Below are 18,141 nucleotides of genomic sequence, written 5' to 3' on the forward strand. Positions count from 1 at the left end.
GTTAATGTTTGCATGGAATTTTTTTCTCATCTTTTGACTTCCAGTGTGTTTGCATGTTTGGATCTAAACTGAGTCTCTTATAGACAGCATATAATTGGATCATGTTTTAACAATCCATTCTTCCAATCTCTGCTTTTGATTGGAGAATTTATTCCATTTACATTTATAGTTAATTACTGATAAGGAGGTACTTACTTCTGACATGTTGATATTTGTTTTCTATATATGCCTTACAGCTTTTTTGCCCCCCATTTCCTGCATTACTATTTTCTTTTGTGTGTGTTTAGTTGATATTTTTTGTAGTAAAAAAATGTAAGTTTATTTCTTATTTCCGTGTGTGTGTGTGTGTGTGTGTGTGTGTATTTTTTGATGTTGTTGTTTGTTCATTTGTTTTTGAGGCAGAGTCTCACTCTGTTGCCCAGGCTGGAGTGCAGTGGTGTGATCATAGCTCACTGCAGCCTTGAATTCCTGGGGACAAGTGATCCTCCTGCCTCAACCTCCTAGGTGCATGCCACCATGCCCAGCTAATTTTTAAATTTTTTTTTGGTAGAGACAGGGTCTTGCTATGTTGCCCAGGCTGATCTCAAATTCCTGGGCTCAAGCAGTCCTCCTGCCTTGGCCTCCTATAGTGTTGAGACTACAGGCATGAGCCACTGCACCCAGTCTCCTTTTGTATATATTCTATAGCTATTTTCTTTGTGGTTACCATAGGGATTATATTTAACATCTTAAAGTTATAACAACTAACTTAAATTTATACCAGCCTAACTTCAATAACATAAAAAACTCTCCTCCTTTAGCAGCTCTATCTTCACCCCTTTTGGTTGGTGATGCCATAATTACATCTTTATACATCATGTGCCCAAAAATGTAAATTAATAATTCTTTGAAATACATTAGCTAGCTAGCATACATTTTCGGTGTCCATTTCAATGAAGTTTCAACACCTGATTACGCTGATGTTACTCACCACCCAAACAAGATCAAGACATAGAACAATTTATAGCACCGCAGAAAGCTCCTTTATGTTTGCTGTAGACCAGAAGTCTCTCCCCCTGGGAATAATCAATGTTCTTTCTTCTATTAAGTTTTGTCTGTTCTTGAAAATCATATAAATGGAATAAGATAGCATGGTAGATGGCCACTATATGCAGCTCTAATGTGGTTCTAACAGCCTTTGCCTTCTAATATTCCTATCCTTGTACAGACTCCTCCCCTGGGGTGTGGACTGGACTCAGTAACTTGCTTGTAGTGAATAGTATTTGGCAAAAATGATGGGGTATCACTTCTGAGATTAGGTTACAAAAGACTTTGGCTTTCATTTTGATTTTGTGGTCTCTGGCTCTCCTCATTTGCTCTGATGAAAAGCCTTTGTGTTTTTAGCTGCCTTATTGGCAACAACCAATGAAGAATTAAGGCCCTTGGCCCTATATCCATAGTGAGTGAGGGAAGCAAATCTTCCCTCAGTTGAGCCTTGAGATTACGGTAGCCTGGCTGACATCTTTCGTAATGCCTTGTGAAAAATTGTGAGCTGGAAGACCCAGGTAAGATGTACCTGCATTCCTGACCCACAAAAATTGTGAGACAATAAATATCTGTTGTTTTAAACTGTTCAGTTTTGGAATAATTTGTTACACAGCAATAGATAGCTAATATGTATAATCCTTGTATTCTCTTTTTTGTTAAGGGTTTTTTTCAATTAACATTATGTCTGTGAGATTTAACCCTGTGGATATATATAACTTTAGTTTGTTCTTTTTATTTCTCCATAGTATAGGAATATATCCAAATTATCTATCTATTCTGTAATTCATGGACATCTGACTTGTTTCCAATTTTTGGCTATATGAACATTCCTGTACATTTTTTGGACATCTGTACTCATTTCTTTGGCATATATACCCAAGGGTAGACTAGCTGGGTCATAAAGTAGATTTTAGTAGATACCACCAAGTAATTTTCCAGAGTGGTTGTACCGATTCTACTCCCTCCAGCAATGGATGAGATTTCTAATCATTTCACTTCCTTGCCAATGCCTAATTTTTTTTAACGTTTTTCATTTTAGTCATTCTGTTGGGTATGGTGATAAATCCCATTGTGGTTTTTAATTCAATTACTGAGATGTTGAGCATTTTTCATATGCCTAATGGCCATTTGGATATATTCTTTAGTAAAATGCCTGTTCAAGTATTTTGTCCATTTTATATTGCATTGTCTATTTTTAAGTTAGATTTGTAAGTTCCTTATTTTCTGGACTTGACTTCTTTGTCAGATATATTTATTGTAGATATCTTCTTACAGTCTGTTCTTAATTTTAATGAAATACAATTGAGTGTTTTTTTCTTTTAAGGTTATAAAATCTTTGTCTATTCCAAGGTCAGGGAGATAGTCTCCTATGTTTTATTCTAGAAGTTTTATTGTTTTAATGTTCACATTTAGGCTCGTGATTCTTCCAGAATTTGTTTTATGTGTTGAGTGTCTGATGTGACGAAGGGGGCCAATTTCATTTTCTTTTCTCATATAGAACTCCAGATGGCCCAGCACCATTTACTGGAAAGATGTCTTTGTTGCAAATCAGGCGTCTTACTTGTGTGTCCATTTGTGAACTTTCTATTTGGTTCCATTGCTCTATTTTCCTATCCTAATACCAACATCACACTGTGTCAATACTGTAGCTTTATAATCAATCTTATTATTTGGTAATCTAAGTTTGCCAATCTTATCTTTTTTTCCTTCATAATTGTCTTGGCTGTTTTGGACTGTTTGTGTTTTCATAAACATTTTAGAATCACTTGCCAATTTCCACAAAAAAATCCTGCTAGGATTTTAGGGTAGGATTATATCAGTCAGTAAGCTTGGGGAAGAGGAACCTTTTTAAATTTTCCTTAATTTCTCTCAGCAGTGTTTCATACTTTTCAGTTGAAAGGTCTTGCACATCTTTCAGTAGATTTATTCCCAGGGATCTGATGCTTTGTGATACCTTAAGTGGGAATTTAAAATTTTTCATTTTCTAATTTTTGTTCCTAGTATAATCTTTAAATTGGATTTTCATTATGTCATCTGTGAACAAAGGTGTTTTGTGTCTTCATATCTTTTATTTATACCTTTTATTTCATTTTCTTGCCTTATTGAACAGGTTATGACCTACCCACAGTGTTGAATAGAAGTGGTGGTAGACATAATTCTCTTGTTCCTGAGTTCAGGGGAAAAACATTCAATATTTCCCTATGAATCATCATGTTTGCTATAGGTGGTTATGGATGCTTTTTACTAGGTTATGGATAAAAGCCTCTTTTTCAAGTCTAACTTTTGTTGACATCATCTAATTGTATGGAAAAAAGGAAAAGCTAATATGTAGAAGGAATAATGATGATAACATGGGTAAGAACAAGAGAAGCAAGAGAGAAAATGAGGTAAAGGAGTATGTAAAATAGGAGAATAAAAGAATTTTTGGGGTGCCTCCTATGTTCCAGGTGCTCTGAGAGCCAAGTTAACTTGTGATAGGACATAGGGCTAGTGAGGACTGGAGGCTGGAGGAGAACCCAGATCTTCTGAGAATCAGAGCTTATTCTTTCTACTGCACTCAGAGGAAGAGTAAACAAAGGGGAAGATTTGTAAGGAAGAGAACAGTTACTCCCAAATCCTCCTGTAAGCCTAGGGCATTGTGTCTTTTTTCTGTCTCTTCCATCTCTTTTTTTTTCTGTTTCTTTCTCAGTCATGTGATTTCTAGGTCTTGGCCTTGATCTTGAATTTTAACTTGATTTCATTCTGTCTCCAGTGGTCGAATGGTAGTGTGTGCCTTCTCTCCACTTCCATCCAGATCATATGAGGTTCTTGTGTTCTGAGACATCTCTTATTTTAATTCAGCTTTTGAGATACCCATTACATAATGCCAGTTCACCCTGGTCACTCAGATCACAATGGCTGGGGCATGAGATTAATGGTCATGTCTTTGGTGTCATTGTCAGCACTCTGCAAATCATGGTTATCCAGTGGTCACTGGGACACACAGAATAAGCGGGTTGAGCAAGGTTCAGGCTGTAGTGAAGGCTGTAACTACCCCTGAGAAGTCCAACCTTTTGTGGTGACAGTCACATTTATCTCCTGTGGCTGTGGACTCCATTTCAACCCCAATCTGGGCATGTTTGGGAGAGAGGCTGCTCCCCTGTTGCCTGAGCTTTTGGCAGCTGGGCCAGCTCCCCTGTCGGTTTGCTTTCTCTTTTGCAAAGTCTATCCTGAGGCTATTATTTGGTTTTCTAGCCTTGTCTGAATTAGGATGGTTCCATTTAAAGTGAAAACAATATAACACAACCTTAAAAAAGGACTGAAGAAGAAACAGAATAAAGAGAGGTTGAATGCAAATGTGTTTTGCAGTGTTTTAATGTATTCGGGATGTTCCTCTAACATTAGCCAGCCTGTCGCAGCCTGCCCAGGAACCTGGTGCATTTGTTGTGTGGCAGAAAACGTTGCTGAAGAAGAGGCTGAGGTTTGGGCTGAGAAGTTGCCTGAGGCCTCCTGAACCATCATCTTCATTATTGAAACATTAAACACCCTTTGGTCCCCAGGGCTTGCTATCAGAGCAGTTGGCTCAGAGGACGAAATGTGGCAGGAATGAGGCCATTATCTGCCATTATCCTGTTGTTCTGTAAGATATCCCTATATCCCACCTATATCCCACCCCAGTAGCCAGTTGTTTCTCAGTGTGACTTTCTGGAGAAAGTGTGGATAAATCAAGATCATCCATCTTCATTCCTGGAAACATAGGGGGTGAAGAGAGAGAGAGAGAGACTGACTGCATATGCTTAGCAAAGAGGACCAATCTCATTATTACATTTAAAATATTTGTTTCCTCCCTTTTGCAGTGTTTTAAAGTATGAAGGATGATGACCAGACATTTGTTTAAAGCAGGAGGCACACCCACTTCCCAGGAGCTTGCATTCTAGTAATGACATAATCCATGTCAATGTTAGACACATGTGTGCATGGTCTGGCCTTCAAACAATTAAACAATTGTGAGGTTGCCGAAGTTAAATTTCTTACCTGGGCATAGACCCATTGAAGCAACAATAAAGGGAGTGTACTTTAAGAATACACATGGAAGACATCTTTAGGCTTTAGTAATAAAAAGCCCTATTTGATCAAGGAGGTTCTCGTTATTTGGGATAGACTGGTTGGGTGAACTAGACCCAGTTCACACAAGTGACTTATAGAGAGTTCAGAGCTGAGAAAGCAGCTGTTAAGTGCGTTCCTATGTGTAAGCACGTACACATCCCTGGCACATAGTAAGTGTTCTGTCAATATTAGTGAATATGACTATTATTGATGAAACAGAAGTAAAGATTAAAAACCATCTGAGTCTGGTAACCAAATCCCTAGGTTCAGAGTTTCTTTCATTTAGGATAAAAGACACTGGCCAGTGCTGGAAAGTGAGTTAGACTGGATGTGTCCACATGTTTGTAAATGTTTTACCTGCCTCTTTGATGATTCTTCTTGGCCTAACCTAATAGGGCATGTGCTCAGGACTTGCTGCCCCTACTGTTAGCCTCCTGAGGGCAGGGACCACATCTGTCCCAGTATTTCCTAGCCAGTAGAGTATGATATGCTCAAAATATATTGTTGCAATAATTGAATGATATTTTCAAAATGAGTCAGCAACATCTGTGGTATCCCTCAAAGTTGATACTATGGAGGTTTAAAGAAATAATAGGAACATGCCCATCACAAAGCCCTGCTCTGTTTCCTCCCCTCCCAGTGTTATGTTCAGCTCTTGGAGCCCAAGCCAAACAAGAGAATCATTCACTGAGGGAAAGCAGGACAGGGAAGGATACTGGCACCCTATTGTAAAATAAACCATTACAAATATAGGTTCATTTACTCTGGAGGAGAGAAGACTTTGGGAATGAAAGTTCTAAACATTTGAAGGGCTTTTATACAGAAGAAGGATAAGAATTGTTCTCTGTGGCCTCAGAGGACAAAAGTTAGAATGCGGATGAGAAGTTGCAAGGAGGTAGAGTTTCTTGCACCATAAAGAGGAACTATGCCATGGAGAGAAGTGGTTGGCAGAGTCCTGGGATCTGTTTGGGTACCTGCTGAGTGGTTAATGTGTGTGCAAGATTTTGGAATCTACCTTCAGAATTTCTTATAAAGTAGAAATTAAATAAGATGAGAACTGGGGTCTCTTTCTTGTGGGGAGGGAAGTAAAAGCTGTTGTAGTGGCCCAGGTAGACCACTTAGGGCTGCTGAGAACGTTGTCTACCTTGAAAGAGAAATGAAGGGACCCACCAGTTACTATGAATCAGGAATATTACCAGATGCTTTCTTTACATAGAGTTACTTGTCTCATAACACTGGGAGGTTAGTATTGAAGGAAACATACTCACAGAGGTAGAGTAACCAGTCCAGGGCTCACTTTTCCTGTCTTAATCCTCTCCTGGAATACTGTGTTGTCAACTGGATCCCCTTTACACCAAATCTACTTTTTCTTCATCGAAATAAATGACTCTTGGGTAGAATATCCCTGCCTCAAACTGTTCTGGAACTTTCTTCAGGGACTTGGATGGCCTTCTAAGTACTGGATTTTGCCTTGTCAGTCAAGACCTTCTTCTCTTTCCTGCAGAGTCCTTGCCGAGGGCTCTTGATTGCAACATTCCATTTCTTTCCTTCTGCCTTGGTGGAGGGTTTCAGAGAGCCTTCTGTTGACCTTCTTTTAATTGCTAATAATTATTCAATTTTATATAGCCCACAGTGATAAATATTCATGAAAAGCACAGTGTATCAAGATCCAACACTTTAAGCTATTGTGTTTTTTTAATTAAACTGAAACATGGGATTAAATGCAATAAAACGAAAAAAAGAGAGAGCATATATTGTTATCTATTTCAGTCCTGCTGTGAGACTGCATGGGAGGCCGATAGGAAACCTTGACCTGGGTGCTGCAGTGTTCTGTCCTAAAGTATGTAAAGGAGACCTCTAAAACATCTGGACCGGCTGGATTCATTCATTCATTCACACATTTATTCATTAATTCACTCAGCACACATTTACTGATTGCTACCATGAGCCTTCCTAGTGCCTCTCAGAGGGATACAAATAGACTAGAACAGGGACCCCAAGGAGCTCACTGTTGAGTCCTAGATGAGGCAGCTGCATGAATCAGCCATGCCAGAGTTGCATAGTAAATACAAGCAAGCACATAAAACAGCATTCACACGGGGGCAGTGAGCAGCTGCCTGGGGTGGTAGATGTGGTGTTGTAGAGGTGGTGGTCCCCATCAGGACTTAATACTTTATTAGTCCTGCCTTCAGTGCATCTTTTCTCAACCTAGTGAGTCTCATCTCTAGGCGTGTGCCAGAAGCAGGCCACCGACCTTCTCCTCTTTCCCTGGAGAGGCTGTCCCCCGTGTGGACTCTGAAGTCAGGCTGCATGGGTTCAAATCCCAGCGCTGCCACTTCCCAACTGCATAACCGTGGGTGAGTCATTTGACCTCCCCATGCCTTAGTTTCCTTATCTGTAAAATGGGGATAATTCATAGAACCTACTGTATAGGATTGTTGTGAGGGCTAAACTAGTAACTGCACGTGAGGGGCACAGACCAGTGTCTGGCACACTCGAAGTGCCAAAATGCTGACACGCGTTATTATTATTTGTGCCGAGGCCTTGGCCCATGACTTCCAGGTTCTCTGGAGGGCTCTTGTGAGGTTTTGCTCTGTAGGAAGCAGGCAAGCTGCAGGTGCGCCCTTGTGGAGAGTTCTGAATCGCTCCTGAGAGCTTCTCTCAAGCACCAGCAAGAAGGAGGCAACGAAAAGCCTTAGCAAATACCTCCCAGACCACCAGCCTTCAGAAGGAGCAGGAGGCCAGGCAGGCCCTGCGGGGAACAGAGAGCAGGAGGGACAGGCGCCAGGGCAGAGAGCAAACTCCCTAGGACCCCACCTTCCGCAGAGCTCCGCCTCGGTTCCCCTCTCTCCCGGGAAGAGGACCAGCTTGCGCATGCGCTTGGGCGTAACACATGCCGGTCTCCCTGCTTTCCCACTTTAAAACGGGAAATGTACGTTATTTATTTGCAGCGCAGGCATGGGGAGACGCTCATGAATCAGCATGGGGATTTTCTCCAAGTAAACAAACCCACTTTCTGGAGAGGCGGTTGCTTTTTCCAGCCTGAGAGATGAGAGAGAGCTGGAGAGCGCAGCAGTGCCGCAGGCTTCCTGGCACCCTGGAGTCCTTTCCCGGGCCGACTCCGTCATCCTCCCCCGCCCGCCCCTGCCTGCAGTGTGGGGGCTGCTGAGCGAACCCAGGCCCCAGCCCTCCCACGGAACACCACCAGGCTCGTCTTTTTGCGTCAATTCACCCAATAGCTGTTTGAAGTCCAAGATGGGCTTCCAGGGGCTGTGGGCTGAGGAAGAGGCTCTGGGGCAAGGCTTGGTGGGATGAACAGTTCAGGTTGATTTTGCTTAGGGGCCTTGGTTTGCACTCTAGCCCTGTGTGGCTTTTAGGGAATCACCAGCCCTCTCTGAGCCTAGGTTCTTTCTCCATCACTAGGGGATTGATCAGAGTTGAAGCCAGAGTCTTTCCCATGGCCAGTTGCACCCTCACCTCATTCCTGTCTGCTCCTCTAGCTTCCTGGGTCCATCTACACTAGCCTCTCTGTTCTCCAATACCCCAGTAAAGCTCCTGCCCCAGGGCCTTTGCATGGACGGCTCCCTTTCTCGGAATGCTCTGTCCCCTGATAGCTGCATGGTTCATTCTCTCCTCTTCTGGTTTTTACTTAAATGTGTCTTCTCAGTCCTGTCCTGGCCACCCAGTCTAATACTATGTTCCCCTCCACATATTTCTCTTTTTTTTCCTGCCTTAGTTTTCCTCCTGTAAATGTCCTGCATATTGTATATTTTAATGATTTATCTATTGATTGCCTGTCCTCTGGTGGGAATGCAGTCTCCATGAAGACAGATTTTGTCTGTTTTGTTTCCAGGCTGCCATGTGATACTGTGAAGGGGCTGGTGGGGGGAGTATTATAGAGGTGGGGAAACTTAGCAAGGCAAGGTGGTAGAAACATTTTGTGATTGTGTGCTTTCTGGTTCTCTTTTATTTCCAGAGCTGTGAAATTTAGTGGCCTCTCCAGAAAGCAGTTTGTTTACTTGGAAAAAATCTTCATGCTAGTTCATGAGCATCTCACCTGGCACACCTGGCCCAAAGTAGGTGTCTAATAGTTGGTGAATGAATGAATATGAGGCCAGGTCCTGGGGCTGCATGGCCTGGACTCTTGCACGTATCACCTTTGTGAAGCTGGGCCAGTTTCTTAGCCTCTCTGGCTTTGGCTCCCTTTCCTGTAAAAAGGGGTTAATGATGTAACTACCTTGTAAGGTTGTTGGAGGACTCTGTGTGAATCTGAATAAGGCCTGAACCTTATAAGTCCTCAGCAGGTTAGCTTTTATTTTTAAAAGTACTTTCAGCTCTAACATTCTAATTCCAGGCAGAGGGGTGCCTCCTATGGAACTTGGGTCAAGTCCTTAAGGAATAACTTATGTAGGCAATAGGATGGTTAATGCATCCTGCCTCCCAGGCTGCTCTGGAAGAGGTTGGGGGCTGCTGGTCAAATTGCAGGAGATGCAGCTTTCTCCAGCATATTTATTTTGCTAAAATCATTGAAGAAACACAGCTAGGCAGAAAAGTATTCCAAAATGACACCTGCGTTAGGAAACTTGGAGGCTGTGGGTCTGGTACCAGGAGGAAGGTTGGGATGGAGGGGTCTGGCCCTGGCTCCTGAAGCAAACCATGAACTGCTCTTGAGGGCAGATGCAGCAGCCCCTGAAGCTCTCTGCTTTCTGCTCCTGAGTCTTGCTCAGGCCTGGTCCAGGATTTTATCTAGTTGTTCAGCTCTTCCCTGGCATCATGGCCATTGTGGGGGCCATTGGCTTTTAGCCAGTACTCTGGGATCTCTACCTACCCTTGACATCTAAGCATGCTTTGGCTCAGGGCCTCACAGACCACAGAAGCAGGCCCTAAATGTCCTAGGAGTAGGGACACTTGTCCTCAACCTGGTGCATCCCCAGCCAACTTTACAGTGGACCATTCAAGTCAAGGTAACATTGGACCTGGGTCATGAAGAGTCCAGGGAACAAAAGAAGACTTTGAGAAGGAGAAAGCCTTTTTAAATTTGGGGCACAGTACTCAAATAGGAAGTTTGAGTACAAGTCTGTGTTTGCCTCTTGGTCTTAGAGACAGGATACACTTCTCAGGGCTAAAGTGCCCAAGACTCCACGTACTTTGGATTCAGATAGAGCAGATGCTTTGAAATGAATCCTCACTGCCCACTTCTGTTCCTCATAATTGTTCTTTATGGGGAAGATAAAAGAAGTGGCCAGCTAAGACCTATCTGGTGAGTCAGTATATCTTCCAGGATGATTTTTGCCCTCAGCATGAAGCCTTGAGTAAGAGAGGAGTGACCAGGAGAGAAAGGTATTTTTACCCTTTTGCCTTGATGCTATCATGATGGCTCATTGTATAGATGCTGTGGGTAATTTTTAGTGCCAGGTGGTATTTGTCACCTGATTTTTGTCCCAGCCAAACAGCAGCTTGGAGAGGGGAAGCTAGGTATGGGAGGGATTGGCCTTAGGACTTAGAAGTGACAGGCTCGCCAGTTGGCTCCCTGGCAGCACCAGTGGCTGGCAAGGTCTGGAATGGGTCCCTCCACATCTATGAAAAGTCTTATTGTCCAGCCAAACAAACAATTTGCTTATTCCTGCTGCATGTGTTTGGTAAGCATCTTCTATATGCTGGGCTCAGGGCTCTATGCTGGGGATACAAGATAGTAAGACCAAGGCCCTCTCATTGAGTTATAACCATCTCAGAGGAGAGCCTTAGAAAGCCTGCAAAGCTCTCTAATAGGGGTCTATAGAAAGCTCTATAGTAACAGAGAATGTTGTCTACATTTACATGCTATCACCTCCACCAGGAGAGTTCACAGAAGTGACACAGTTACTGTATCTTGAAGTTTCCAGGAATCAAGGTGGTAATTCTGCTGTGGCTCAGGGATGGCTCTGGCACGAGGCACCCCTGGTCTTGACACTCTCCAGGGATGTGACCCTGGACTGGTAAAGGGCTGTGAGTCTCAGCTTCCTCAGCTGTAACCCAGGAAGCATGGTACCACCTTATAGGGTGGCTGCGAGGATTAAAGGAGGTGCCATTCATAAAGCATGCCTGGCATGTGGCAGGGAATGGAGCTGTTATCATTCTGTAAGCACTATGGTGCTTTGCTTCATTTCTTATTCCTATCTTTAATTGGTGATTTGGTTGCATTCTCTGGAATAGTGACATACAGAATAGGGGAAGCCCATTCATTCATTCAGTTAATTCCTCCAATTTTTCAACATTTTTTGAGCACCCACTGTGTGCCCGGCACGGGAGCCACCCCTGGGACACAGATGTAGGTAAGGCTGACTCCTTGCCCTTGAACATTGGCAGGGGCTGCGGTGTGTTTGTGGCTCCTCAGTGGACCCTGCTGCTGCTCAGCCCTCTTCCACCACTGGCCACTCGTGGGATCTGTGGGCAGTTTTTTTTCACTGCTTCTGTTCTTCAGATATCTCAACTGAAGAATGAGGATAATGATAATATCAATTTTATGATATAGTTGAGGGGAATAAATGAGCTACTAAATATAAAGAACATAATGTCAGGTATTGGTTGGAAAGTCCTCAGTGTTTTTTTTTTTTTTTTTTTTTTTTTTTTTTTTTTTTTTTTTTTTTTTTTTTTTTATGAGACACAGTCTCACTCTGTCACCCAGGCTGGAGTACAGTGGCATGATCTCAGCTCACTGCAACCTCTGCCTCCCGGGTTTCAGCAATTCTCCTGCCTCAGCCTCCTGAGTAGCTGGAACTACAGGTGACTATCACCACACCTGGCTAATTTTTGTATTTTTAGTAGAGACAGGGTTTTGTCATATTGGCAAGGCTGGTCTCGAGCTCCTGGCCTCAAGTGATCCACCTGCCTTGGCCTCCAAAAGTGCTGGGATTATAGGTGTGTACCACCAAGCCTGGCCTGAAAGTACTCAATAGATATTGATGTTGATGAATAGCTGGAATATAGACAAATAAATAGATAGCAGACATGCAATGCAAAAAGCCCTGAAAGAAGACTGAACTAAGCATTGTAGGAGCACAGAGGAAGCACAGACTCTGCCTACAAGGCAAAGAGAAAGGATGCTGCTCTGTGTCCAAGAATGAGCTCACTGGTCACCCTGGGTTGCTTCTAACACCCAGGCTGCTACTCCCTGGTTCCACTGGAATCCTACAGTGGGCAGGAGCTTCTGGGACCATCTACCAGTGTTCTTCTGGAGTGAGATCATGGGGCCATGAACCTGGGATCAGCTCTCCCTGCCCACCCAGGAGGAAGAGGCAGCAGCTGCAAAGGTTGCCTGCATGAGGTGCTCTAGCATATCCTGACCTAGGTCACATCCCTCCTGTCTGTTTGAACAGTTTCTAAACCCCTCAGCCAAGCAGTGCCTCTCCCAGTTTATTGAATTGCATTAGTTTTCTAGCCTAAGCCCTGGCCCACCTTCCCCATCTTTAAGCCCTTAAAAAAACTTACATATGCTTGGAAATAAGGCCCCGTTCTGTATAGTGATTTCCAGTAGGAGCAACGATTAGTGTTTTGGGAAGGTAGAACATTCTTTGTGGTGCAGGACTATCATGTGCATTGTAGGACTTAGCAGCCCTAGTTCTACCCTTTAAATGTCATTGGTTCCCTCTTCCCTTTGTCCCCACAAATGTTTTCTAGGGAGTGGAACATCCCCTAGTGAGACCCAGTAGAACTGAGATAGGATAAGTTTTTGCTTCTATTCTGGGCTTCTTTGCTGACATTCCTTCGACTTTGGGATTGCCCGGCTCCCTCTTGCCTGACCCTTTTGTCTGTGCCTTACTGGCAGTGAGATCCTGCAGCCCTGGGGTGGGAGAGAGGGAGCTCCTGGGAGGAATGGTGTGGTGGGGGAAGTGGATGAAGTGGAATGAAAGTAGGTAGCACAGGCATCTCTTTAGGGACATCTACTCTAATTTCTCTCGCAGGCCACCATCACTATCTCTGCGGTGGGAGAAGGTCAGGTTGGAGGGTATGGCCTGTTCTTTGGAAGTGAGGCTCTGAGCAGGGGCCTGGCTTTCCTTGAGGCAACCAGGGGCTCTGTGGGTATGTTCTCTGGTCTTGGTTTTGGGAGGGTGGTAATTTTTGTTGGGGGAGTGGGACAACAGGAGCAGTGGTGACCAGCTGGGGCATGGGGGCAGGAGCACAGGGAATGGTGGAAGGGAGTCACCAACTGCTGCAGGCTTAGACTGGAGTGACTTCAGCTTCCTGACTCACCCCTGCACCAGCCTCCTGGATAAATAAAGTAACAACCAATCGTCGTGAGCTCTGGACACCCACAGTTGGTAAATTGCAGAGATGAAAAGCCAGGTCCCTGTGAGACCAGTTCTACTCTGAGGTAATAGCCAGGAAGACTCAGGAACCCTGGGGGAGAGCCATTTGGATTCAGAAGGCCACACAAGTCTTCTCTCTCCCCCATTTTTTCCTCCTTTGTTCTTTCTCCTTATGCATTCCTATCTGTCCAGTACCCATCCTTCCCTCTTCCCTCCTTGTCATCAAAACCTCTCACTGCACATGATGGAAAAGATCCAGGATCCTGGGAGGAGCCCTGTGTAGTTGGTGGTCCCTCTTAGAACCACAAACCCACCCCGTCTCAGGATCCTCATACATCTGTTTGTCCATGTATCCATTCATTCATCCACCTACCCATCCATGCATCCATCTGTCAGTCCACCCATGCATCCATGCATCCGTCTTTCCATCTGTCAATCCATCTATCCATCCATCCATCCATCTATGTATCCATGCATTCATCTTTCCATTCATCTATCCATCCATCCATGTACCCATCCTTCCATCTATCTATTCATCCATCCATGCATCCATGCATGAATTCATCCATCCATGTATGCATCCATCCAGTCATCCATCCATGCATCCATGCATTCATCTTTCCATCCATTTATCCACCCATCCATACATCCATGCATTCATCCATGCATCCATCCATTCCAGCCCTGCCTTACATCCCCTGTCCACCAAGGTGGCCTTGTCTTTCCAACTGGACAGTAAGCTCCTTAGATGAGGGCTCATGACTCAGACTTTTAAAAAATCATCCAACCAATCTGGCTTGGAGAATGGGGTGCTGCCTAATATACTTTGATGCTTTCTGAGCTCCTTACCTCTTGCAGCTGCCTCCATGTAGAAGGCAACTGGATGAATGGAAAAACCCTTTCCTGATACCAAATACCAGTGGCTGAGCTTCCTTTAATGATGAGCAACATCTTTATTCTCTAAAATGAGACAACCCCACATTCAAATGCCTAGGAGAGGCCACCCCAAACATAAATACACACTAAGGTGTAAATGATCTATGTGAATTTCTTCCCTGAGTGTGTTTGTGCACTGGGGGTAGGGGTAGGGGATAGGAGACAGCCTGAAGTGTGAGTGGGTACCATGCAGGAGCAGGGCAGAAGAGAAGAAGCCCCCAGGTTTCAAGCTGAAGGGCAATAATTTGAGCATGAGAACTCTGTTGGACTGGTATGTCTGGATCCACTGCCTGTCAAGAGGGTGGTGGGGAGCGGAGGGCTGGAAGGCACAGGCTCTGGAGTCTGACTCTGGTAGTTCCAGTCTCAGTCCCTGCTTCCTAGCTGTGTGCCCTAAGTTCTAAGCCTCAACTTCTTCATCTGTAAAGGGGGGACAATAATAGTACTGAAAACATATGGTTTTCATGAGGATTTGCTGAAATAAAGCCTGTGCTTTGCTTTCACAGTGCCTGGCACATAACAGCCCAAGAATTTAGTGATCATCATCATCCACATCTCTAGCTTTGGGAAAAGGATTTGGAGCAAAAAGAAGAGGGATTTTCATACTTTGACCATAAATCATAGCATTGTCAGATTTAGTAAATGAAAATACAAATACATTTATGTGTTGTTTATCTGAAATTCAAATTTAACTGGGTCTCCTGTACTTAGTATGGCAACCCTATTGAGTCTCCCAGAAGCGGGTCTGGATTGCCTCCTCCGTCTTGGTCCCAAACTAGAACAGTTGCAGGGTCAGGGAGGTCTCCAGTGAAGCAGGGTTGTGGGGGCAAGGAAGCCCTGCACCCTGACTGGCCACTCATCCAGCAGCCTGGAGGCTGAAAGCTCTGAAGGAGGGACGATTCGGGTGAAGGGAGCTGCCCAGGCAGAGGCTGCGTGTGTGGGGGGGCAGTTGGAGGGGGGGACCCAGCCGTGGTGCAGAAGCTTTGAGCTTAGTGGATGCAGAGGGCGTTGTGAATCAGAGCACGTTGACTCCAGCGCCTGCCAGCCAGCGTGGGCAGAGAGTAGCAGCGTGTGTGGATACGTGCAGGAGTGCAGCGGTGGGGACCGCTTCTGTTTTCTTCTTGAAAGAAGCAGCCTGCGGAGCTCTGAGCGTTCTCACCCCTAATGGGTGGATTGTTCGGCCTCAACTCCAGTTTTCTCCCTTTCTTGTTCTTTTTCTCTACTCTCTTTCCTCTTTTCTTCCTCCCCTATCATTTTCTTCTCTTCTTTTCACCCTCTCTCTCAGATTCCCTCCACACCAGCCATTCAGGAAGTACCTCTGTGGGTGGGATTCTGACGCATCCTTAGTTACCTGCTGTTCCATACCCACAGACTCTATTCCCTCCACGTGCCAACTCCCAGGAACCTGCCCAACGTGGCCAGTTATTGGCAGCAAGTCCTTGAGTCCTCACTGACAAGGAGATGCCCAGGGCAGGTTCTGTGTGACCCATGGGAGATGAGCCCTGGCCCCTTCAGATGGGCATGCATGCCAAGGAAGTGAGAATGTGCCACCCAGAAGTGCCTGAGGTAGAGTATAGCTCAGAGTGGCCTCTTACTCAGTTAACACCCTGCTGCTCCACCTACTTAGGGCACTCACACTTTGGCTCCTGTTCTTGCCTCGGCATATGAGGCCCTGCATGACTTGCCCTCTTTAGGCATTCTTGCTTCATTTTCCATCACTCCTGTCCTCCCACCTGGAGCTCCAGGTAAATAAAACTGCTTGTAGTTCCAAGAAAGCTCTGTGCCCTTCACACCTCCAGGACTGTGTACCTTCTGTGTCTCTCCTGACTCAGCAAGATCCAGTCATCCTTCAGTGTTCAGCTCAGATACCTCTTCCTCCAGGAAGCCCTCCTGACAGCCACTGGCCAACTTGGCCTTCAGGACTCTTACTCTTAAGTTCTGCTTACGTTGCCCATGTTGCCATCCACATTCCACAATGTGTGGACTTGTGGTTGTTTGTTTGCGTGTCTGTCTCTTCATGTAGACTGGAAGTTCCATGAATTATATCTTTTAATCATTCATGCCTCAGGGCCTTTGCACAAGCTGTTGGTTCTACTTGGGACACTTTCATCTTCTCACTGTTCATGAGATCTCAGCTTAAATGTCACCTTTTCAGAGTAGCCCTCCCTGACTCCCCTTACACTGGAAAACTACTTTATTTATATTAGCACCTGTTTTATCTCTCAGTGGTTTATTACAACTTGACCTTTTTTTTCATTTTGTCAGTCTTCACCACTGGATGATAACATCTTGCAGGGCAGGTGGCTTATCAGCTGCTTCACCATCATATACCCAACACCTGGCCCAGTGCCATTTGCTGATGGGCTGGACAGTGAGGCATGGAGAACAGAAACACCGAAGGCCTAGAGAAAAGGAATTCCAGCTCGGGATTTTCTGAATTTGCAGACTGATTTCTCTGTAAACCGTACCATCCCATCTTGTCTGTGGCTAACTGGTTAATTCCAGAGCAGGTACTTCCATTGTGTAGCATCATCAGCCTCTCTTTTGGCATGCTTTAATCTTAATGTATGTTTATATTTGAAATTCTTCAGTTTGGTTGCTGTCCAACCAACAGGAGGGGTCATTTTCTGGAAGCATGAGGGATGTTTAAGGGAGAGTGGCTGCAGTGCCTGGGTCGGCTCTGGGTCTGGCTCACTGAGGAATTGAAGTTTCCTTTATCCCTTGCCTGTAGCTGGGAAGCTGGGAGACTCCCTTATGCATAGATCTGGCCTGCATGGCAGTACCTGCAAAGGCATAATTCTTGGGGTTGAAGCACTTCTCTGGACCCTGGGACTCCTCAAGGTGGGGGTGTGGGATGTGGATTTGACGGGTCAGTCCTCAGTAACCCATATTCTGCTGCCGTGCTCCTCTCAGGAGTGATGACTCAGAAGTCCCCATCTCTGGAGTCTCCCACTGAGCGGTGAAGAATGTCAGTTTGGAAACAGCCTGGAGAGATGATCTTCTCAGAGTCCCATACTTTACAGATGAGGAGACCAAGGCTCATGGAGAAGAAATGCTTTGCCCAAAGTCACAGGGTTGAGGCAAGACTGGAACCCAGGTTTCCTACCACTTCACCTGGAGTGCTTCACCCTCAGGCATAGGCAGACCTTCATGTAATCCAGAATGTAGATTCAGAGGTGTGGGCTTTTGTGTTGCAGGAACCTTTATATTTATATTCACTGTACAAACAGAAGCCCTCTTTTTCACTTCCTACTTTTCCCTCCTTGTTCATCATCATGAGAACATTGAGTTGATGAGGACGAGGTCTTGGGTTTCAGGATAGTGGACAACAGGCATTCTCCTATGGATCCGTGATCCAAAGAAGGTCTGCTGACCCCTGACTGTGCATCGAGGGACCAGGCAAGACCCTGATAGCAATAACTCAATGCTTCCTTTATGGAAGAGAGCCCCCATGTGTGTTCAGAGCACTTTGTGTTTGGATACAGATTTTACAAAGCTGTTTCTATGTGTTTGACCTTTTGAAGGGTCCACTGGAAAACTCTTCTGCAGCTTGGCTTAGTTCAGGTGTGTGATTACAGCTGGCTCAGGCTCAGACCATTGCATACTTTAGGACAGTGTCCAGGGGGATGGGCTTTGCCAGCACCCGTGGGCAGCTTGTCCTGCAGTGCTGTTGCCCTCCTGACATGCAATAAAAGATGGGGAAGGAAGGATTCCATGGTAACAAGGCTGAAGAGCTCTAGCACCATGGTGTCATAGCAACCAAATGGAGGAATTCCATCCACATGGTGACAAGGAGACCCCTGGACCTATC

At 45.0% G+C, this 18,141-nt stretch overlaps 1 protein-coding gene across 1 annotated transcript in view, besides 1 other annotated feature; it reads left to right on the plus strand.

Annotated features, from left to right (window-relative positions):
• Positions 1 to 18,141, plus strand: part of SORCS3 (sortilin related VPS10 domain containing receptor 3) — a 623,953-nt gene that overhangs the window by 31,797 nt on the left and 574,015 nt on the right. The window lies entirely within an intron of this gene.
• Positions 7,967 to 8,466: an enhancer, noted in NCBI's record as "H3K27ac hESC enhancer chr10:106440811-106441310 (GRCh37/hg19 assembly coordinates)". NCBI's record gives its function as "activates a minimal SCP1, AML or CMV promoter by ChIP-STARR-seq in naive H9 embryonic stem cells {active_cell/tissue: H9 hESC(naive)}" and the evidence as "EXISTENCE:reporter gene assay evidence [ECO:0000049][PMID:30033119]".

This window comes from Homo sapiens, chromosome 10 (assembly GCF_000001405.40).
Source record: "Homo sapiens chromosome 10, GRCh38.p14 Primary Assembly".
In the NCBI taxonomy this organism is placed as follows: domain Eukaryota; kingdom Metazoa; phylum Chordata; class Mammalia; order Primates; family Hominidae; genus Homo; species Homo sapiens.